Here is a 24394-nt window from a genome sequence, read left to right as displayed (position 1 = left end):
CCTGAGTAGCTGGGATTACAGGTGCCCACCACCATGCCTAGCTATTTTTTTGTATTTTTAATAGAGACAGGGTTTCACCATGTTGGCCAGGCTGGTCTCGAACTCCTGACCTCAGGTGATCCACCCACCTCGGCCTCCCAAAGTGCTTGGATTACAGGTGTGAGCCACTGCACCAAGCTGAAATAAGATCTTAAAATAAAATGCGAGGCCTAGACCTTGATTCCTCCTGAGTTGTATGTCTGGTCTTGGCCAGAGAGGAAATTCTTGACCATGTTTTAATTTTTATTTTATTTGTATGTGATTATTTCCAAATCTGCCATCACAAGGTGGAGCATATTTTCCCTTTCCCTTGAACCTGGCCTGACCTTGTGATTTTCTTTGACCCAAAGAATACAGCACAGCAAAGCTATATGACTTCTGGGGTTAGACCTTAGGGAAATGTCCTAATCATTTGCTTTCAGTCTTGAAACTCTTAGGTCTCCATGTTCCAAATAAGTCTAGTCTAGTCCACCAAAGGATGATAAGTCTCATGAAAGAGGCACAACTGCTGTTAGCTGGAACAAACTTCTGGATGAACCATTGGGTATCTGTAGCCAGCTAAATTAGATGATAATTCCTTATACTTGCCCTAGTAGTTTTCACAGTATTTTGCATATATTATCTCATATAATCTTTATCTTCATGCTAGGGAGACAGGACAAAAATAACACCACTCAGATTGTTCACCCACAGAATTGAGAGAAAGGCTAAACCTTTGTTAGTTTAAACATCTAAATGTTGGAGTAGTTTGTTGTACAACAATAGGTACTTAGATAGCATAAGGTACTCACTTAACAATGACATATGTGAGTGCATGTATAGTGTTTTATAGCTTACAAGGGTTTTTCACATGCAATTTTATTTCCCTGGATCCACAGGATAACCTTGCTTTCCAACTCTGTAGAGTAGCTGTGGGGGATTTCTGTTTTGTTTGGGGATTTAATCTTTATTATATAAAATGAATGTTTTATTCACCTATATTACAAATGAAGAAGCTGAGATGTTGAAAGTTTCCAGGGTTCACTTACAATCACAGGGCTGGTAAGTGAGCAGGAAAGGGCTCCCAAAGAAGTTTTTCTTCTAGAAAGCCTATAAGGCTGTGCCTTAGGCCATGTTGTTGAAAACGCCAGGGGTATAAGCCTGCTGTTGGAACACACAGCTGTGAGATGGGCTCCTGCAGGGAAGGAAGGCAGCTTTATCATGGACCTAGGCCACTGCAGAATCCACTGTGGGGCCCCGAAGAAGCTTCCCTTTGGTTGTCATGCCAACAGACCTCCTATAGTCTCCAGTAAAACTTCAGCCCAGCCTGCAGGAGTTTGTTAATTCATGTGTACTTCTGACATGTTTTGTAACTGTTAGTTTAAAAAACAAATACAGTAAAATATACCCTAACTTACCACACTCCCAAATTAGCCCAGGAGGACAGGTCTGCTCTGTGAAAACAGGGGTGGAGGCTCGTATGCATGGTTTCTCAGGTAATGTCCATGCCAAGTAAAATAATTTCTTTTCCATACTCACCTCATTGCCTTCAGTTTAGGCCCTCGTCACTTCTCTCCTGGGTTACTGTGACAGCTTCCTTGTACTCCAGGTACCACAAGTCCAGTACCACAACTGGTACTCCTGCTGTAACACAAGCCTCTTTTCCCATTCAACCACATGGCACATTGGCACCAATTCCATGTCCTAGAGCCACCAGGAAGGTTTAGGCTTAGGAATATAAGCTCCATTTCTGGAGCCTTTGTCATCATTTAAAACAAGTGTTGGGAAATAATAGAACTATCACTGATTAAATAACTGTGAGAGCCACCACACCATAGCCACCACCTATTATCCCGTTCTAACTATTGCCACATCTCTTCTCAGGGTAAACTGAGAAACATCTACTTCTTTGGAAGCATTATGACTATGACTCTCCTATCTTGTAAATGTGGTTGTGTTTAAACTTTCCCCTTTGTTGTCTACTTCTTCACCAGTTTAACTTCTACCCATAGCCCAAAATGAGACCCAAGTGTCAACCCTATTTAGAAGCCTTGCAATTTCTCTGAGATATAATATATACATAATAAGAAGGAGTCACAAGCACTTAGATATTTGAAGCCTACATAAACAAGGATTCTGTAATGAGGAAGTCCAGTATAGTCATGGCATCAGAAGTTCATAAAACACAAACTTGAGAGCTACTGGTTTAAGCTTTTCATTTACAAGTGATACCATTGAGGCTGGGAGTGAGAAGTAATGTAGGGCATAGTGGTGGGGAGAGAAGGTGAAGTGTAAGGTTTATTTCCCAAGGTCAAGCAATTAGGCAATAGGAGAGGCAGGACTAGAAAGAATACAGATCTCTTGGCTCCTAAACCAATGTTCTTTATATTTGCCTAGGCTGGAATAAAGAATTTAATTGTGTGGCTGGGCACGGTGGCTCATGCCTGTAATCCCAGCACTTTGAGAGGCCGAGGCGGGTGTGGATCACAAGGTCAAGAGATCGAGACCATCCTGGCCAACATGGTGAAACCCCGTCACTACTAAAAATACTAAAATTAGCTGGGCATGGTGGCATGTGCCTGTAGCCCCAGCTCAGGAGGCTGAGGCAGGAGAGTTGCTTGAACCTGGGAGGCAGTGGTTGCAGTGAGCCAAAATCATGCTACTGCACTATGGCCTGGTGACAGAATGAGACTCTGTCTCAAAAAAAAAAAAAAAATGTAATTGTGTGAAGGTGATTAAAACTAATATTAGTGTTTTCAAGTAAAGAAATACATATTTTTTCTTTAAAAAACAGTTGGTCTCCAGAGCATTATTGGATTAACCAATTGAAATTAATCAACTATTCAATTTCATTAAACAACCAGAAATTCAGCCAAGCAATTGACACTTGCCACTGAGTCAATGAATTGTTTGGGTACACAAGCTAACAGCTCAGTGGTGTAGGTGTTGTATAGACAGACACAGTCTGGCTGTTTCTGAAGTGGTAATCCAGTAAACAAACCCAAGAGAACTATGTACACACAGGCTGGTTCCCCCACATTGCCTACCAACTGAAGCAGATTAAATTAATAACTTTGCTCTGTTTATGGACATGCTAGTTATAAGCAACGTAGGCGTCTCGACTGACAATCAGCCAGGCAGAGAAACCAATTAACTAGTGGATCTAAAACACAAGAAAGAGGAGCCATTTTCTAAATGACCTGGATATATCCTTGGTATAAATTACTAAATTAATTAATGAATAAATCTCAAGTCTTTGTTGGTTAGCAACTTTACTCATTCATCAAATTTTATGAAACATCTCCTCTTTCTGTATGAGACATTGAAAAACAATAGCGATTAAAATATATTTCTTACAACATTAAAGAGAGACAATGTAGTTGCAAGGAAATAATTTCAAGTTCATTTTGTCAAGCATTCCTTGGATCCAAAATCCTGGAAGGTGAAAGAGAAAGGAAGGGGAGGAGAACCATCTTTTGTGAAGCCTGATTACACCTGCCTGGTGCTTTCTCATAAAGAAGCTTTGGCCCTGGGTAAAAGAGAGTTGAAAGCAAGTGACTCAGCATGGATACCATATCCATCTTCAGATAATTATGTTCTCTTCCCCTGTCAGCAACTAAATTAGATGATAATTCCTTATACTTGCCCTAGTACTTTTCACAGTATTTTACATATACTATCTCATATAATCTTTATCTTCATCCTAGGGAGACAGGACAAGCACCACTATTTTCATTTTAAAGATGAGGAAACCAAGGCCTAGAAAATTTAACTGATTTCCCAAAGCCACTCTGCTTTCTTTCAAAGCCATGGTAATCCGTAACTTGAAACTCTTACCAAATGGAGGCAATTTCTTGATTGAACAATATTCATAGAATCACTGAACCTATGTAGGGTAGTGATGATGAAATATGCCTCAATTTTCTTGTTGATATATAATAGACAAAGCATCAATATTTTTGCTTCATGTTTCTCTCCTCCTTCTTCCTCTACCTACCTATATTTTACTATATTAAAGTGTACATCTGGTCTGTGGTAAGCCATGAAATCTTACTTGGCTTCTCAAATCCACACTGTTTAGTGTCTTCCCTGAATTTCTTTAGCAATGCGAAGAGAAAAAGATTTTTTTTAAAACAGTTAATGGGTCGATTCTTGGATGTGTTAATTAAGATACTATGTGAGGGCTTGAGGCAAAGACAGAAGAGCAATGCCTGTTTACTGCTCCACCAGATCTCATGGTCTGGTGGGGCAGCAAGAGTCAGGGCAGCAGCCCACCACTGCGTGTATCAGGGGTGTGCTCTGTTGGAGTTCCCAATGCTATGGGGGCTCTAAAGAGGAAAGATCTGTTCTGCATAGAGCATGAAGAATGTAAAGACACGCAACAATTGGTTAAATACATATTTGAGCCATTCTCTGATATTTCATTTGCCTTATCTTTTTAATCTCAACTAGAGTGCTTCAAGTTGGAAACAATTTTCAACTGGAGAAATGTGCCCAGTCTGTTGGTGAAGAGAAAGCACAGGAGAGGTCAGATTATTTAATATAGAATAAAGTAAGCATCAGCTACCTACCCTCTAAAAGATGAACCTACTTGAGAGAGGAGAGAACATCAAAGGCTGTAATATGCTGAGCTTTCTAAGAAAACTGCTTTGAAGGGAACAGGTTTTGCTTGGATGGGTAAGTCCCAACATATTTATAAAAATCATTCACATTGTCATTTTTCATATGACCTCAATTCTGTGCCACATACTCATACTAGTTGAGGGTAGAAGTGGGTGAGAAGGGAAGTGAGTGGGGCAGAACTACAAGAAATAAAATGCACAGTCCCTGAACTTCTATTTTAATTGAGGAGACATAATTAACGGTGAAAGGTAGGGTATGACTTGGGGCTATAAAGGAGTCATCAATAGCTTGAGGGATTCTATTGGGGGGAATCAACTTGCATATTTGGGTAAATCTTCATGGAGAAGGTGGAATTAATTGAATCTTGAAGAACAGGCTGAATTTTGACTGTTAAGAAGTCAGGGAAAGATATCACAGAAAGTCTGCACTTGGCCAGTTGTGCTTATAAACAAGAATCCTGGGCAGATTCCAGTACAGCACTGAGATGGGATCCCCGTGCCCCGCCCCACCTCTGAAACCCCATGTGACACCCTGGTGCTTGTTAGCACCAACTAAGCCAAGCAGTCTAGTTATATGGGACGTAGAAGATCCTGTCCCTGCCCTCAAAGTATTTACCATACAATCAGTCAGAAAATACGAGGGTAAGAGAAGGAAGGAAATGCTTCTAAAGACAAAGTGATTTGAGGGGTTTAGGAAAAGTGGCTATCTACAGGGATCAACATAATAGGTAATTACCCAATCTTCTCTTCTATTTATTACAACAGATGGAGGCCTGGCCTAAAGTTGTAAATTGCCTGAAAGATGCTTCCTGTTGTCATTCTCTGCGGTTGTGCTTTTGCTTCTCTTTAGGGTTAAGAACAGCTGTTGACTAACCCACCCACATATTTGGAAAAACAGCTGTAGTTAATGTGTATCACTTTAATCTAGAAAAATGTTAGTCCAGCCTCATAGGCTGCTGTTTAGGAGAAAGAAGATGGATGGGCAGGATGTCTAGAGACCTGATTTGCCAATATCCAGTTTTGTGATTTTAGGCAACATTCTTGAACTTGGAACATCTGTGTGCACAATGGGGATAGTAATACTTGCCTACTTATCTGCTGGGGCTATTGTAAGGGCAAAATGTGGTCATAGATAAGAAAACATAGACACAAAGAAACCACTGTACGTGCTTCAGGGACATTTAACCACAGTTGGACATAACAGGGAAAAACTAGAAACATTCGTTTTCTTCCTTGGCCATGAGCTCAAGAAAGAAAGGTACATTAGGGGGTGGGTGGATGGGAATAAAATATCAAGAATGTGTTCCCATTCTTAACTGCATATCTGAGATACCATGAGGAGTGCTTCTGTTTTCAACTGTACCATAAGAATTTTGACATTTTCCATTTGTAAAATGACCCTTATTGAGAAGAAAGGGATATTGCATTTATAAATTGATGATTTTCCAAAACCAACAATGTGAGAATTAAGCCTTTATATGCTATGAACTTAAATGTACACAAAAAGTTTTAAAAAATGATAAGGAACAAAAATGAACTACAATTTAGTCTCTAAACTTGCAAACACTCTACCAAACAATGGAAACAGCAACAATAATCTTACAAACTCTGTGCAATGCCTCTAATTCTTTTTGTTCCCTGTACTAAATTATATATACTAAAATGTTGTAATTTAGGTTTGCTAGCCAAACTCTCCACAAATATTCAACTAGAAAAGAAAAATACAATGATCTTTTACACTCAGTGGTGGAAAATTGTTTTGGGAAGATGCACAGGATATTTACAAAGATAATTTAGAGACAAATATGGTAAAATTGAGTTTGCTGAGAAGGCATATTATTAGAATGGTAGTTATCCAGAAAATTAACCTAAGGTACAAAGTAAATAAATGGAGAATAGACTCTCTTTTATTAGCTTCATCTCTCACCCATAAATGGCAACTCCCATTTTCTAGTGCCACAGGATTAAAAGCTTGCAATGATGTTGAGCTGCTTCTCTTGTACCCTCATATTTAAACATCAATTCCTACACATGACTTTGAATTATTACTAATATTAATTAGTACCATTTTGATCTGACTTCTATGATTTTAGATACGACATAAGCTCTGAGATTCAAGTTCTCAGCCATACCATTGAAATAATGATTTGCTTTCTATTTTTTTCAAGAATTAACATGAGATTATGTCTATAAAGTCTTCAGCAATACCTGACACTTTCATAAGCATATGTAGGCATTAAAAATATCAGTTACCTTTAATTCTTCCTTATATGCAGATGATTATTTTGAAATAGTTTCTTTCCGCCCTATCTGGTTTCAAAGTCTTCCATAGTCAGTGAACCCTGAACGCTTCCTCCAAGTTAACACTTTGCTCAGGTGATTTGCCTATTCAGAAAAGCTCTCTGCATTGCCTGCAGGATGAAGGCCAATATTTTTTGAAGACCTTCATAACATAGCCTCGGCATATTTAGCCAAGCTTATCATTAAATTCTTCAGAAAAACTGTACCTTTAGAAAGTCTGAATTTTCTGCTTCTGCAAAGTACACTGCTATTCTGCCACATTTAAAACAAATTTAACACATCATACTTAGCCTTTTGCTTGTGGAGGAGTCTATAATAGTCAATCCATATTTGCCAAATTGAATAGTGGACACATCAGTGCTACTTTTTCATTATGAATTACTTAAAAAAATTCAAAATGTAAAATATATATATGTCAAGCAATATACCTAGTCCTGTAAAGAACCCCCTGCTACAACAAAAAGGAAAAAAAAAAGAAAAAGGACAAGTTCTATCCTTAGAGGGGATTACAGGTCTACTAGGGTGATGGATTAGGCCATTCTTGCACTACTGTAAAGAAATACTGGAGACTGGGTAATTTACAAAGAAAAGAAGTTTAATAGGTTCGTGGTTCTACAGGCTGTACAGGAAACAGTGCTGGCATCAGCTTGTCATTGGGGAGGCCTCAGAAAGCTTTTACTCATAGCAGAAGGTGAAGCAGAAGCAGACACATCACATGGCCAAAGCAGGAGCAAGAAAGAGAGCAGGAGGTGCCACACACTTTTAAACAACCATATCTTGCAAGAATTCACTCACTGTCCTGGGAACAGCACCAAAAGGATGGTGCTAAACAATTCATGAGAAATTTACACCATGATCCAATGACCTCCCACCAGGCCCCACCTCCAATATTGAGGATTATGTTTCAACATGTGATTGGGGTGGGGACACTTCCAAACTGTATCAGGGGATAAGCCTACGGCGACTTCAGCACATGTGAAACTAGAAAATCATAAAAATTAGAATTCATGTATGCATTTACACATGAGATATTGTTGAAGGCCTACTGTGGTAATAGGTTCGTGCAAAAGTAATTACCATTTTTGCTATCACTTTTTAATGACAAAAACCTCAATTACTTTTGCACCAACCTAATATGTACATCAACACTCACTACATTGGGCAATTATACACTGAAATAATTGCTGAGGATTAGAAGGAAAAGCCTGGAAGAAGATTCAAAACTTCAATAGAGTTTGTAACATATATAGATTTAAACTTAATATAATTTGGAAGTAAAAAAAGAAGAGTGAAGGACATATGTTCCAAACACACACTATCATTTCCATCTTCATAAACATAACTGTAGACCACATAATAAAAATGTCTCCCCTGGACCACTGCATAGACTACTTGTCTCCTGCCTTCCACTGTTGTTGCATCAACAGTCTATTCTCCATACAACAGCCAGAGTGTACTCTTAAAAAATGGAAAACCTGGCTCACCAACTCATATTGCTTGCCACCTCACCGAGGACCCAGCCAGGATCTTAACCTTGACTTTTAGGCTCCAGATATTCTATGTCCGGCCACACCTCCAACCTCATTTTTTCCCCTTTACCCACTACCCTCAGCCACATTCACCTGCTGGCTATAGTGGGGCCACAAGAAGCTTATTCTCACTCTGGGGCACAGCTGTTCTCTCTGCCTGAAATCTTTCTTTCAAGCCTCTGCATGGCTGGCTCTTTCATTATTTAGGCCTTAGTGCAAATGGTACAGCTTCAGATAGTCCATTCCTAATCACCCAGGCTAGAATAATCCCCTCCTTGCCCATGACACTTTCTATTGGCTTATCCTGTTTTATGTTCTTCATAGTACTTTTCATTTTTCATTTCTCATTTGCATGTTCACAAATTGTCAGTCTCTCTACCAGAATGGAAACTCCTTAAGGGTAGGAACTTTTTCTGCTTTGCTCACAGCTGTTTTGCTGAAACCTAGAAGAGACCCTGCCTCACAGGTGATAAGCATTAAATAAATATTTTCAGACTCTTGTGGGTAAGTACATATGTGTGTATCTGAACTATAAGTAGAAAGAAAAGGAAGTTGCCAAGACAGAGGAGAAAGGCTTTTTGGAGAACAAGATCACAGAGTGATCAAAGGGATATAAGGGAATAGAAATATGTATTGTGTATAATATTATATAATATATAATGTTAATTATAATTATATATTATATAATATATAGTATATTATAATTATATAATATATGATATATATAATATATAATTATATAATATATATTATATATATCATATATATGATATATTATATAATATATATTTTATATATATAATATATAATATATAATATATTTATTATATATAAATATATATTTATATATAATATATAATATATATTATATATTATATATAATATATTATATATTTTATATAATATATAATATATATTTTATATAATATATAATATATAATATAGTATATAAAAATATATAATATATTATATATTATATATAATAAATTAATATATTATAATAATATAATAATAAAATAATAATATAATGATATATAATATAATAATAAAATAATATATATTATATGTAATATAATATATTATATATTATATGTAATATAATATATTATATATTATATGTAATATAATATATTATATATTATATGTAATATAATATATATTATATGTAATATAATATATTATATATTATATGTAATATAATATATATTATATGTAATATAATATATTATATGTTAAATATATAATATATGTTATATAACATATAATATATTAATATAATATATAATATATTAAATATATATAATATAATTACATAATATATTAATATATTATATATAACATAATTATATATAATGCATTATATATAATATAATATGTTATATATAACATTATTATATATAATATATTATATATAACATTATTATATATAATATATTATATATAACATTATTATATATAATATATTAATATAATATATAATAGAATATATATAATATATTATATATAATTAATATATAACATTATTATATATTATATGTATAAAACATAATTATATACATAATTATAAGATTTTAATATATATCTTATAATTATATATTATAATATATATATTATATTATATATATTATAATATATATATTATATAATATATAATATATAAAATATGTATAATATTATATATTATTATATATAAAATACCTCATATACATACACACAGAAAAAAGTTCAGTTTAAATGACTACTTAGTATAGCCAAAAAGATGATAGAGTAATAGCTGTGGGAGATGTTATGAACAAGTTTGAATTTCACCAGAAAGTGAGAATATGTTTCAACATAGAGGACCATTTTGAATTCTCTGAGATAGAAAAGGATTGAATTGAGAGGGGGGTTTGTACTTAAAAACCAACAAATGGATTAAGGGACATTTTATTTTTATTATTATTATTCTAAAGACAATAGAATATAATGATAAAAATTTCAAGTTCTTAAGTCAGACAAGCCAGGTAGGGAATTTTATCCCTACCACTAAAGATTGCAAGTAAAGACAAGCTACTTAACCTCTCTAAGCATCAGTGTCCTCAAGCATTATATGTGGAGAAAAATGAGATCTACTATGTAGTGATTGCAGGAATAAAATAAGACAATAAATGTAGAGTATTTAGCATAGAGTGTAGCGCTTAGTATTCAGTAGAAGATACGTATTCTTATTTTATATGATGCACCAATATTTTAAGGCATCTGCTATGGCACAGGAACTAAAGAGACAGTGTTTGAGCTAAGAGTAATTAGGAGTATTTTTCAGGAATTCAGATATGGAGTTTAAAGTTTATGTAGGATGTTGGATATTGAAATGGAACATAAATAAGAAAACTCAGAGATAGTGTGAAGTCAGAAACAACTGGTTTCTATGTCAAGATTCATATTAAAATGTGAAAACCTGGTGGTAATACTATTGACTGAAAGGAAACTTTGAGAGTATTCTTTGAGCTACGAGTTACCATAAAAGTGTTAGTTATTATTATGTTGCCTACTAAATTATGATCTTCTGGAAATAAGGAAGGGCTTGATTCTGGAATGTGTCACCCATTTCCAAGTAAGAGTACATACCAGAAAATTATTGATGGGTCTCATTTCATGCACAGTTCTGCTCTGAGGAACTGAGAAGCAATTCTGTCTTCTTTGTCAAGGTCTGGAGGCTATAGAGACGGGTCACAATTCCTTGATACTCCTGAATGAAAGTCTTTGATTACATCTTCAAGTTCTGGTTCTTTCTTTTGGCCAAGATTTACACTATCCAAATGGAATAAAGACTGGAGATATTGTTTATGTAATTTTTGCTTCAAATCTGATTTATTCCTAATGTGGCTTTGTCATTAAAAAAAGACTGAAGGAATTTTATTTGCATTACCTGAAAGCTTTTAGATTAAAAGATATTATATTCCTATTTATCAGGAATATAGCAATATTTTATTACTAGTAATTTTATACTGGTAAAATTATATTAATTTTATAGTAATGTGAATACAGAAATGTGTGGGTATTTCTTTTTTCCTGTAAAAATCATGCAAAATTAGGGGGAAAGGACAATATATATGCAATTAATAAATTATCCCCCTCTCAATTTATATTATATTTATATAATCTTAAAAGAAAAATTTGGACTTTACAACAGTCTTGTAACATGGAAATTTTTTTTTGTTGTTGTTGGTTACAATATGTTAAGCTGCAGTAAAGAATAGTCCCTAAAATTTCAGTGGGTTGAACAATAATAACTGTCTAGGGCTGGTGCTTAGGTTGACACCAGCTTAAAAGAAAAGAGCTTAGGGTGGCTCTTTTCTACACAGAAATTCTGGGGCTCAGATCAATGGCAACTCTGACATTTTCCACCTGTAGGCTGCTAAGACAGTTCTAGTGTTGCCATCAGTTGAAAGGTGGGAGAACATGCAGGCAGTTTTCATTGACCAGGTGTGAAGGTGTAGGTGGCACAGATATCTCTATTCCCATTCCATTGGCTTAGATTTCAGTCAAATGACCACAGATAACTGCAAGGCAAGTTTGAAAATGAAATTTCCCTGTGTTTCTGGGAAAGATAGGAAATGGAGAGTGATGAATTGCCAATAGGCGCTACTACAGTCTTTTCTGTATTTATCAGAAACATAATATTCATGAATGCTCAGACAATTGTAAGATTACTTACCTAACCAGTTTGACATGTAGCTGGGTTTAGGACCTTGGCAAACAGTCTTATAATTTGGCTTATTTATTTATTTATTTTTCTGAAACAACATGTACTGAGGAGGGCAGGAGCTCACATGTCTTTTATGATATATTTTTCCAGAAGCAGATGGTTAGATGATATGGTCAGTAAATGTTTTTGAAGATTTCCTTTTCATCTCATGAAATGACACCCCTTTTTCCATACCTTACTATTTTTCCAGGTTCTTATTATAATACTTCAGTCACATTTTGTAGAAAGCACTGATGAATAGAAACAGTTTCCCAGGAGAACTATTGATTCTGAGTGGCTGTTGATTTTTTACAGCTTGTAAGACATTTAATAGCTACCCAGATGTTTTTGTTGGTTTAAGACAAATCACCGCAGATCTAAAGTGACTTTAATTTTTCATTAAACATGAAACAAAGACAAAATTTAACACTTAAAAATTATTCAGCATTGATTTTCCATTGTTCTTTAGACTTCACAATTTTAAATCAGGGAACAAATATGCCAATAAACAATATTTATCAAACGTCAGGACGGAATCTCTTCTGTGCCTGTGGAGGAATTGACAGACACTTAACAAGCTTTCAAGGAATGAATGACAGTCTCCTGGTGCAGACAAGACCAAGTTATGACAGAGCTGGGGTTGTGCAAAACCCCATGTCTCGTTCTAGTCTTGGTTGTGATGTATTATGTAAACTTGGACAAGTGATGTATTTTCTTTGGCTGCAGACTTCTTATTTATAAAAAGTGGAGTGTCGGTCAAGATGAACTTTAAGTGTTTTTAAAGTTCTAACATTTTCCAAGTCAAGAATTAAAGAGACATGGGTTATATTACATAATTGGTCTTTGATGAAAATAGGGCAATATAGTCAGGAATGGCCTAGGAAAATCTGTCAGGAGGATATAGGATTTAAGCAGGGCCTTGAAAATTAAGAAAATACAGAGAAGGGAAAGAGCATTAATTTTAGAGCAAGAAGCATATGTACAAATTAATTTATAGTTGCAAGAACTATTATGTATATACTAGATGCTAGGTGCTGTGGATATAGGGTAAATGTGACAAATTTGGTGCCTGCTTTATGGAGATTATAGTCTAGCAAATAAAGTGTTAAGACAATGACCATCATGCACATTTAATAGTGATCCATTTTGCTTCTTTAAATAGAATGTTAATGTGGGAACAATAAGAGATGGAGTTGGATGTATGGAGGGTACCTAGTGATGAAATTCTTAAATCCCAGCTGAAAGAGAGGTTTGGTCTTTTAGTATAGCCTGCCATAGAAGATTTCTGAATTGAGATGAGATATGATAACAGGAATATTAAGGTAAAATCGACATGTGAGATGAGTTGGAACACCTTTTCCTTGAATTTTTATTTAACATTTTGACCTGACATATGCAGGTCAAATTGTTGCATTAGAGCTTACATATGCAGAGTTACTCAGAGATATACGCACTGCCTCCAGTGGTCTCAAATCACCTCTTGGGTTCCCTCTTTACCCATCATCACTTAACCACCAACCCATGACTGATAATTTAAAACTTGGTCAGTATTAGGCCTGCTGTTTGCAATCTACGGATGTGGCTCAGTAGGCAATTGCAATTGGCTAACACAAGCAGATTGATCCATGTCACTGAGTGGGACTGCACGTGTTTCACGGCAAAGATTAGAGAGTGATTCAGCATTCATGAGAAAATGTAGCAACAAAAGGTTAGTGGAACAGTCCTAGGAGTGGAGCCATATTGGGAGCAATTGCAGAAGGAAATGGTCTGGATTTATTATCTACATTAAAGATATTGTGGGTCCCATGGATACCAGGAGTGTCATGGAGACCCAGCTAATAGGTTTTTTATTGGATTATTGTCAGGCTGCTGCACCTGCTTTGAGAAGGAACGTTTGCTTCATTTTCTGGCAGAGGCTACAAGCTGCGAAGCAGAGAACAATCACTGGGGTTGGAAATGGAACTGATTGTTTTTTAGAACTTTTGCAAGGCTTGCTGGGCTGATCTCCCAACTATGGAAGTAGATGAGAAAACTAAAATTCCAGAAAATAGAAAATTTAGTTTGGGAGCTCACATTTTGTTTTGGATTCATGATATTCACATAAAAGAAGATTGTCTGGATAAGGCCCTGAGACACTAACTGTAGTCAGCCAACCAATTATGAGCCCTTAAGATTCTTCTCCAGGACTCTTCATCTAACTCACTCACATGCTGACTTTTTTTTTTCCTTGGACTAAATTTGGTCACTGTTTTCATGTTTTATAGACAGTCAAGGTGCAGTGTAGGCATGATTTATTTTTGGAATTTTGGGGTTAATATGAATAGAGGTTCTGTGCAGTTGGAAGTCTGAAGCATGTTCGGTAATTCTTGCTTTGGTCTAGAACAATTACAAAAGTAATTCTAGTTTTTGGTCTACTTTAGTAATTCTAAGAGGTACTCATCTAAATTATGTAATCACCTCAGTGAAGTGATAGTTCAAGTATCACATACTTTTTTTCCTCTACTAAAGAATTATTATTATAATCCATTGACTGAATGAATGAATAAGAAAGTCTGTGATAAGCCACAGTGCAACTGAGATTGGCAGCTCCAGATCATTACAATGTAAAATATATCTATATAGTAATGATAAACAGACACTGATTGTTTTTTAATCATTTTGATGCCTAGCCACAAACCAGTGACTTGTGCCTGAAAGTGGCTAATTTTGAATAAGGCATTAATACACTCATATTTATGGCTTCCATGGGTTATCACGTAGCAGTAGGTAGTCTCTCAGATTTCTAGCTCCTGAGGCTCTTTTTGCTTTTGGGGAAGGCTTCAGATAACTTGTGCATGAAAGACATGTACTCTTGGAATTACTGTTCTATGGAATGATCTGTTGTTCAGGCAGGTGATTCTACCTCACTTTGCTCTTTGCTCTAAATGTCCCAAGACATTTAGAATGATGGAGCTATTGAGCTTGAAATTATACCAGAGCTTCCTTGCCCAAGTAGCCATTAGAAAAGTGATTCCAAGAAGACTCCTTGTAATGACAAAGCCAAGTTCACCTTCAGGGCTTCTAACTCCTGGTTCAGTATGGTTTCTACTATGCAATTTGCTTTGCTACTTTTTCCCAAACATAAACATCTTTCTCCTCATGGCCATCTATGGGGTGACCAACTCATTTCAGTTTACTCAGGATTTTCCTGGTTTTAGCATTAAAAGTCCCGTGCCCCAGGACTCACCTTAGACCAAGCCAAACTGGAATGGCTAGTCACCCTAAAAATGGATGTGTGTGATGTCACCATTATATTTATTCCAAATTGCTTGTTATTCCAGAGGGTAAAGTATCTATTTTGTTTCTGTGCCTTTGTGCATATTGCTTCTTCAGCTTCAAATGCCTTCTTTGTTTCATGATGAGCTTCTCCTTATTTATAAATAGTCTGACCATCACTTCCTCGGCAAATATAATCTATTTTTTGGAAATTTTCATGTAGCCCTCATCTGTTTTTTCATAATTAAAACACTTTTAATATCACCATTAAAACACTTCATTGCATAATGTTGCGATTATTCACATTTCTTTCCTTTGCTTGTCTAAGAGACTCTTGAACTTGAGAACAGAGACCACACCTTATTCATCTTTGTCCTTCCAGCACCTAGCTCAGGCCTGATATATATTAAGTGCTCAGAAAAAGTTAATGACAGATGAAGCATATTAATTTGAATTCTGATACTTCCATATTCCCCTTTTTCTTTCTCATGTTTCCTAGTAACGAGTGGTCTCCTAAGTTAATCTCATTTCCCTTGCCCAAAGATTTACATTTTATTCTTTACATTTTATTAAATGTAAATAAGGTGGTTCTTAAAATACAAAAGGGCTTTTAAGAATCACAGTAATAAATACTTTTTTAAGTTTAAAATTTTAGAAACTTTGAATTGACACTAGTGGGGATATCTTGGAGCAAGATACCTACTGCTCAAGTCGCTCTAGGGTAGGAAATTACCTAATCTGACTTCTTCTGTAGCAGGTACAGGTGAGTAGAAGGAATATATATATATATATATATATATCACTCATGACAGGTAACCACTTTCAGCATCCCCAGGCAAGCATACAGGAGCAGGCTTTCTGGCTTATGGTCTGCATGGAGCCCATCTGTCTGCTTATTTGGAATTGCTCCTACAAATACAGTGAGATGCCCAGGGGGCCAGCATTGCAATGTGACTCATTGGAATGGCTCTGACTCACAACTTGGGATCACAGGCTCCTAAACTGGCAGACCAGCTTTGGAGTGGTGCCTTGAGGGCTGTTTCCAATTTGTTATTTGTTAAACCTGAGTTTTCCTGCTGACGTGACTAGTGAGAAATTAACACAGTTACTTTGGTGTATTCTTTGCAATTATATGCTATTCAATGTGTAGAAACATTACGGGACTGGGAGTTAAGAGGTTTGCATTCTTCTACCAAACCTGCTACTGATTAGTTCTGTGGCTTGTGGCAAGTGGCTTCATTTTCCTAGGTCTAAGTTTATTTATAAATGTAAGTGATTGACACTGCTTTACTTTTGTCCCTAGTATCTTCATATATATACGTACACACACACACACACACACATAAATTGTAGTAAGAGGATTTAACAGAAGATCTACTCCTTTGACAAAATTTTAAGTGCACAGTATAGTATTGTTAACTTTAGTCACAATATTGTACAGCAGATCTCTACAACTTCTTCATCTTCCATAAACTATATATGGAAACTATATATCCATTGAGCAACAACTCCCATTTCTCCCTACTTCTAATTCCTGGAAACTACCATTTAACTCTGTTTCTATGAGTTTGATTTTAGATATCTCATATAAGGAGAACCATGTAGTATTTGTCCTTCGGTGGTGGCTGGCTTATTTCACTTAGCCTTATGTCCTCCAGGTTCAGGTTGTCACATACGAGCAGGATGCAAAACCTCTCTCATTTCATCACTTGATATATCTCTGGGTCACAGACACTTTTAAAGATGAGTATCATGAACACAAAGCTGCAGTGCTCCCAGAGGTCACCTCACATCCTTGAGCATGTTACCCTATCAAATTGAAAAACTCTAAGAGGAAGGAAAGAGCCTGCACCTGATTATTGCTCCACTAAGCTCTCTAGCCACATGTCGACTACTGACCTTTGTAATCAGTGCTGCCTGAGCTGTTCAGTATATTCTCTGGACAAGTGAGCAGGTGGATGTTAAGAGCCTCCTCACTGATTGCACTGCCTGTTAACATGGTGTATGCTCTGGTGAGTGCCTGCTCTTAGGGAAGGGAAGGATCTCAGCAAACTCATGGAAGAGATGCATGGGAAGGAAACTGCACTAAGGGTCAAGAGCACCAGTGTCTAACTCCTTCGAACCCGTGCAATCGTTGTGTGCCTTCAGGGAAATCATCCAGCCTAGGGGGCACTCTATTCCAAATAAAGCATGTAATGCATGTGGCACAAGCTTATCAGGAGATTAAGGAGATATAAAATTCACCAGGAGAAAAGTTAGAATGCACAGGGAAACATTCATTTCTATTATAAGAAATCCAGAAGTCTTTTAACATCCCCCCAAATTCCCCAGCTGAAATTTAAACAAGCAGATGTTGTGAGATCTGAAATACATCATAAGTAAGAAAAAAATTACTCTTTGGGCTCAGTAACAGTTCCAATTCAACTCCTCCATTCTTTATGATTCATCATTGTGTGTGGAGTGCCAAGACTGGACTGGACTCTGTAAGCCACAGAAGGATTTAGGTCCTTCTGACTAGTTTTAGGAGACTTGGAAACTATCTATCCCAGAAACCCCAGGTGTTCAGGAGGAAATGCTTTCCAGGCATTAAAAATTCCTTGAGGGCTTGTTCGTTGTTGCTGTTTTAATTGCTTCCTCTCTCTTTCCTTTTGAAAATACTTTAGTAGGGACATCCTCAGATGGGAGATTTTCACAGGGATTTAAATAAAGAGAACATGCCTTAGGAAGGATAGTGTGGATAAAGGATTTGAAGAAAAGAGTAAGCTAGTTTATATCAGAGCAGGTCAGAAGACTTGGTACCCATCGTCAGTCCAAAACTCAGTGCCCCAGAACAAAAACTCCTGCTCTGGCCATTCGGGTCACATATACAATGTCAAGGCATGGGAAGGCCAGTGTCAGCAGTTCTACCACCCGTGGAATGTCTTTTGCCACCCAAACCCAACATGAAGCCATAGTTGACATAGTTAACGCTCAACATCACCAAACCAAACACTTCCTCTTTCCCTCAAAACCCACCTTTCCCATCTTGAAGAATAATGCCAATATCTACCTAATCTCTTACATCAGACACCTGGCAAGGTTTTAAGACTCTTTCTTTATACTTCATAACTACCTGTTTACCTTAATGCCTCTTTTCTTTTTGCTTCTTTCTATTCTCAGTGCAGTCAACTTAGGTCAGGAGCTATTTGTAATTATTTTGACTTAGATTACTGCATGACTGGGAACGGAAGTGGGGAACAAATTAGAAACATTCTACTCTACACCATCCCCTTCACATCCCTGATTTCATGGAGTTCTCAGACAAGTCTACAAAGGAAGAAGGTAGTTATGCCTCCCCTTTCTGTGATTATACTGATAATGAAATTAATGCTCTTTAAGCATTAATCACGTGCTAAGCACTGTGCACCATTCTACACTTAGAACCTCACTGCCTCATGATGTGCCCCTTTACATTGCTGCCACACTGAGTCTTGTATTCCGTTTTTCTGTGTTTCCTCTTGTCATCTTTCCCACACCCTTGCCGTTCCATGGGTTCCTTCTACAATCTGGCTCCTATTCCTTTCCCACCTTGGTGCCACGTCCCAAAGCATCTCTATTTACTATCCTCAGGACTTCCTTTTTCTTCCTCTTTCTCTTATACTCACACCACTAACTCTTGCTTTTTGTTAACATTTTTGTTCTTGTTCATTTCCTCCCAGGAGTCTTCCCCATCTTCTCTCTCTCTCTCTCTGTCTCTCTCTGTCTCTCTCTCTCTCTCTCTATATATATATACACACACACACACACACACACATATATATGTACATATACATATAAAATTTTTTTTTGAGACAGAGTCTTGCTCTGTTGCCCAGGCTGGAGTGCAGTGGCACAATCTCAGAGTGCAACCTCCACCTCTGCAGTTCAAGCAATTCTTGTGCCTCAGCCTCCCAAGTAGCTGGGATTACAGGAGTGCACCTCCATGCCCAGTTAATTTTTGTGCTTTTAGTAGAGATGAGGTTTCATCATGCTGCCCAGGCTGGTCTCAAACTCCTGGACTCAAGCAATCCACCCACCTTGGCCTCCCAAAGTGCTGGAATTACAGGCATAAGCCACCATGCCTGGCCTCCTCCCTCTATATTCTCACTGTTATTATAGATATCTGTTATTTGCTCTACCTGAGAGCCACCTTGATTTCGTGTCATTACCTTGATGTTTTTGTTTTTGAGGAACTGCCTATTCCCTAATAGAAGCAGTCTGAACAGGGTATCTGTAAGGTGAGTTGGTCTTCTTGGAAAAGGAGTCAGCCTAGGACAGAGGTTGAGCAGCCAGGGCCCTCTCTTTGGTATTTGTCTTGAAATGGCACGTGGAACCAGACATGATTGGACCTTGTTCTAATAATTCTTGCTTTTTGGATCTCAGAAACAGACTTTGCTCCTAGTTTTCTGAGGCCTGTTTTGGATCTCCTGAGGCTTCTTTCAGCCATTCAAATAATCCAACCTCTCCCTCTTTGGGTCTAAGTAAGCCAGAACTTACTTATGCTGTTTGCAAAGAACTCTGATCAACACAGGGGCCCTCTTGTGAGCAAAACCCACATGCTCTGCTTGTTCTACCATATCCCACATTACATTCTGGTCAGCAGAGCTCAGTCCAACTCACTCTCCCACTCGACTGCAATTCTGCCCCTAGACAGTGAACTCTGTGAGGACATGAACAGTGCTTTGTTCATCTTTGTGTCACTGGTAATTGGCCAGCAACTTGCATAAAGAAAATGCTTAAAATTTAATTAGTGAGTGAACCCATGGAAAAGAAAGACTATGTGACTATGAGATGGAATGGGAGTTTGAAGAGGAAGACTTTGGAGAAACCGGATACAAATCAGAAACTCATTCAGGGGATGGAGAAGGAGGTCTTGTCCATGACATGTGGAATATGAGGAGTAGAGGAATCACTTTGAGATCATGAGACACAGTGAGGCAAGTTTAGGATAGATCAGTAGTCATTCCACTAATGACTACTTCATAACTACCTATTCACCTTAATGCCTCTTTTCTTTTTGCTTCTTTCTATTCTCAGTGCAGTCAACTTAGGTCAGGAGCTATTTGTAATTATTTTGACTTAGATTACTGCATGAATGGGAATGGAAGTGGGAACAAATTAGAAACATTCTACTCTACACCATCCCCTTCGCATCCCTGATTTCATGGAGTTCTCAGACAAGCCTACAAAGGAAGAAGGTACTAATGCCTCCCCTTTCTATGAAACACAAAAATTAGGGAAGTAATCTTATGTTCTTATTTCTAGAGAGGAAATGCATTGAATATATGAAAGATTTTCGAAAGACTATATAAATACCCAGGTGACGAATCAATAAGGGATTTCTAAGGAAGTTTGGAGAAGCTGGAAGATTTTCTGCCTTTTGAGGTTGCAGTGATGCAATCAATCCCTTGTTTGCAGAGGTTTAACCCTGGGCTGCTGCCATCAAATGGTAGGTTAGAGCCTTGTGTGCAGAGGCTGTGGCCACATAGTCCCAGGAGCTCTGCTTGGGTAGACCAATGCCAGCAGGCCTGGTGTGGCCCTCTCTTGAGTTTATTCATGTATACTAGATCCAGAGGGCACATTGGAAGCTCTATTCTACTACTTTTCAAACAGTGAAGGGAGTCCTTGTATTCCTCAGGGGTCTCTCAGTTCGTTCACTCCACCATCCCTTCCCAGGCCACCTTCCTACATGTGCTTGCATCAGTCAAGCAGCAAGGATTCAGAACCCTCAGGAATTTAATGAAGTTTAATGGCTCCTTTTTTATTTTTGTAACTATGTTCTTACACAAATTCTCCATGGAAAGCATTTTCTTCAAGCATGGTTTCCTAGAAAGAGCATTGGCCGAGCTGTGGCCTGAACTGATTGAATAATTCATTTTACTTCTTAGAGTCTCAGCTTCCCTTTCTGCAAAAATGGATAATAATAAGTGGGCTACTATCTCATGTATTTGTAGGTAAAGTTCAAAGAGATAGATAATGGGAAAACTTTATGGAAGCAAAGATGTTATTATTGTCATTGTTATTTCTACTCCCACACTCCCACTCTGATCTGAGTTTATAGCACCCATCTCCTTCAACATTTTATTGTTGAAGATGCATTGCTAACCTGGTGAAACAGACAGGAGAGAACAGAGACTATCTAGGAGTCATAGTCTTCTTCTCCTTTCCAGTTCTTTTCACCAATATAGGCCAGGGACTATTGTCACAGAATCTGCAGAAAGTCAGTTCTGAAACACCTTTCTAGACTCAGCTTTTTTTATTGCCTTTGAGTGTAAGCTGAGAGTAAGTCCCATCACTTCCATCAGCTCATTTAAAACAAAAATCTCTGCCCTATGTCTTTCTTGACTTGGGGAAATAATCTTGAAAGAGCTCTATGATATATGCTCATGTTATTAGAGGTTTATGGTTTTAATTAATTAGTATCTTTGTCTGTATTAGGGCTGCTATAACAAAAGTGCCATACTGGATGGCATGAGCAACAGGAATGTGTTGCCTCACAGTTCTAGGATTCAGAAGTCCAACATCAAAGTGCCAGCAGGGTTGGTTCCTTCTGAGGCTGTGACAGAGAATCTGTTTCATCCCTCTCTTAGCTTTTGATGGTTTGCTGGTAATCTTTGGCATTCCTTGGCTTATAGATCTTTGCCTTCACCTTCACCTGCATGCTCCGTGTGTGCATGTTTGTGTTCACATTTCCAATTGTATAAGGACATCAGTTGTATTGGATTAGGACCCACCCTACTTCTGTATGACTTCCTTTGAACTAGTTATATCTGCAATGGCCCTATTTCCAAATAATATCACATTATGAGATCCTGGGGCTGAACTTCAATATATGAAGCTTGGAGGGACACAAATAGACCGATAACATTACCTACCATCATAATTATCATGTTTGTGAGAAGTGGATTTGCAGAGGTGCTTGGACTCCCAGGGTCTAGCTTTGACATGGCCTCTCTAGTGTTCAGAGGAAAGAGAATCAAAGCTGCTCCATTGTGACATCACAATGCACTTTTCTTTGTGCATTCACACGATGCATTTTCTTTTCTTATCACCAAACTGTTTTGAAAGATAAAAGTACTTCCTGAATATGTGGATGGTGAGCCACGTGAATGGAAGACATGGAGATATGGACTGTTAACACCTTGTCAAACATTTATTGTCCCTTCCACCTCTAAACTTCTGTGATAATAGGTGAACAGGACCCACGTGGTGCAGAATACTGCGATACACACTGCGGAATAATTCAGGTGAAGTTTATAAGCCACGTTTAAACTGCCTTTCATAACCTCTAAAATGAAAATTATAAAGAGTACTGTTGTATTTTTATGCTAACATGCATTGGGAAGCTGTGAGAGTTAATCTCTTCTTTTTCCCCTTCCTTTTTAGAATATTGTAGTTATCTCCTACTTAGAAGTCTCTGTAGCCCCAAGATGCCAGATATTGCATCTGCAGAAAGGAAAATTGAAATCAACGTGCCCAGTGGGTCCAGAACTTGACAGCCTGACAGCAAATTGTAGCCTTTAGCTTTTGCCTTGAGTTATTGTAGGCAGGAACATCAGTGGGAGAGTGTGTGTGTTTTCTCTTTCACAACACAATTTATGGAGGTGGTGTGATTGCCACAATGAACATGTTTGAATGGGTGATTTAAACAATTTTCCATATGAGAATGATGGCTGTGAGTGTTAAGCATGTTGATGATTGCATATTTTGTTTGCTTTCATCAAAAGTTCCTTACAAATTCACTAGAGAAGGAGCATCGACAGGATGCAGGATAGGAAACAGATTGTATATATTATCAAGGTAATGATTACCAACACATACTTCAAAAAATAAAAGTGTAAAAAGCACTAAATATGTCACAAATAACTCTTGCCTAAGTGTTTTGTGGAATGGGTCAGAGCAAAAACAAAGCAAAAGAACAAATACATGAGCAAATAAATAAAATGAAACATTATAAACACTTGCAAAACACACCCATGGATTCATAGTCATGTTCGTTTCTCCCTTTCTTCTATTTCACATCTATCATAACCTTCCCTGTATAATCTTTGGTCTAACGTTGGCAAGAGCAGTCTGGAAACCCAGGACATTGCTAAACTTTAGACAGTTCCATTACTATGTAAATCGTTCTGATGTTCCATTAAGAAAACAATTTCCAGTACCTCACACTATGGGATTTTCTTTGACCATTCAAATTCTGTGGGGAAGGCATTTTTGTCCCGCTGTTGTCTAAGAGCAGCCTCCAGGATGCTCTGTGTTTTGTTGGCACCCAAGTGTTTCTGTGCGTTTCTGCTGCATTACGCTGGCACTGGCCCCTGTGGCCCTGGCTGACAAGCAAGGCAGGCACTGTATCCAATGGCTCAATCCCATGTTTCCTGTTTGTGACAATGTCCAAAACATGTACACAGACCATTTGAATTCATCTAAACTGTCATGGAACTGCTTTCCAAGGAATCTTTCTGTTTTCAGCAATCATGTTGGAAGCTCTCTCCTCCTAACAGGGTGCTGCCTGCTTCCAAAGGCTTCCTGATAATTCAGGTTACTCAGGGCTTCTGTGTTCAAGTCCCAGGGTGTGTGTCTATTGATATTTGCTTGTTGCTTTGTGGATATACTGAAGTTTTTCAATCCTGTTTTGGCTCTGCTTCCCTCTTGTCATACTGCCTATTTCAATTTCTCCATAAGGCAAGAAAACGTCTTCTTTTTCTCTTTCAGGCTCTATCCTCTTCTCATCTTCCTTACTTTTTCTTTCTTTTGTGTCCACCACTGTTCCAGTCCCTCAGGTTCGAATCCAGAAATAGTTATTTATCTCCCACAGTTCAATTCTAAAAAACAGTACCTACTCTGGCTAATTTAAGCCATAAGGATCCAATTATGAGAATATTAAATAACTTATAAAATCTCTCAGAGGGTGGAAGAAACTAAAT

At 37.3% G+C, this 24394-nt stretch overlaps 2 long non-coding RNA genes across 2 annotated transcripts in view, besides 1 other annotated feature; one reads left to right on the top strand and one right to left on the bottom strand.

The window, feature by feature from the left end:
* Window positions 1-269: 269 nt before the first annotated feature.
* On the bottom strand, window positions 270-22394 carry LINC01601 (long intergenic non-protein coding RNA 1601). The gene is made up of 5 exons (NR_131768.1): window positions 22346-22394; window positions 11858-12012; window positions 11078-11260; window positions 1068-1213; window positions 270-684 (listed from the first exon to the last, which is right to left on the bottom strand). It is a non-coding gene; the product is annotated as a long intergenic non-protein coding RNA 1601 (long non-coding RNA).
* Window positions 932-1468: an enhancer, noted in NCBI's record as "NANOG hESC enhancer chr18:42132670-42133206 (GRCh37/hg19 assembly coordinates)". NCBI's record gives its function as "activates a minimal SCP1, AML or CMV promoter by ChIP-STARR-seq in naive H9 embryonic stem cells {active_cell/tissue: H9 hESC(naive)}" and the evidence as "EXISTENCE:reporter gene assay evidence [ECO:0000049][PMID:30033119]".
* An 81-nt stretch (window positions 22395-22475) lies between the features above and the next one.
* Window positions 22476-24394, top strand: part of LINC01478 (long intergenic non-protein coding RNA 1478) — a 208263-nt gene continuing 206344 nt past the window's right edge. Inside the window, exon 1 of the long non-coding RNA NR_110792.1 lies at window positions 22476-22717. This is a non-coding gene — a long non-coding RNA (long intergenic non-protein coding RNA 1478). The remainder of the gene's footprint in view (window positions 22718-24394) is intronic.

This window comes from Homo sapiens, chromosome 18 (genome assembly GCF_000001405.40).
Source record: "Homo sapiens chromosome 18, GRCh38.p14 Primary Assembly".
Lineage (NCBI taxonomy): Eukaryota > Metazoa > Chordata > Mammalia > Primates > Hominidae > Homo > Homo sapiens.
The sequence above is the reverse complement of the archived record's forward strand: the minus strand, read 5'-3'. Positions and strand labels throughout refer to the sequence as shown.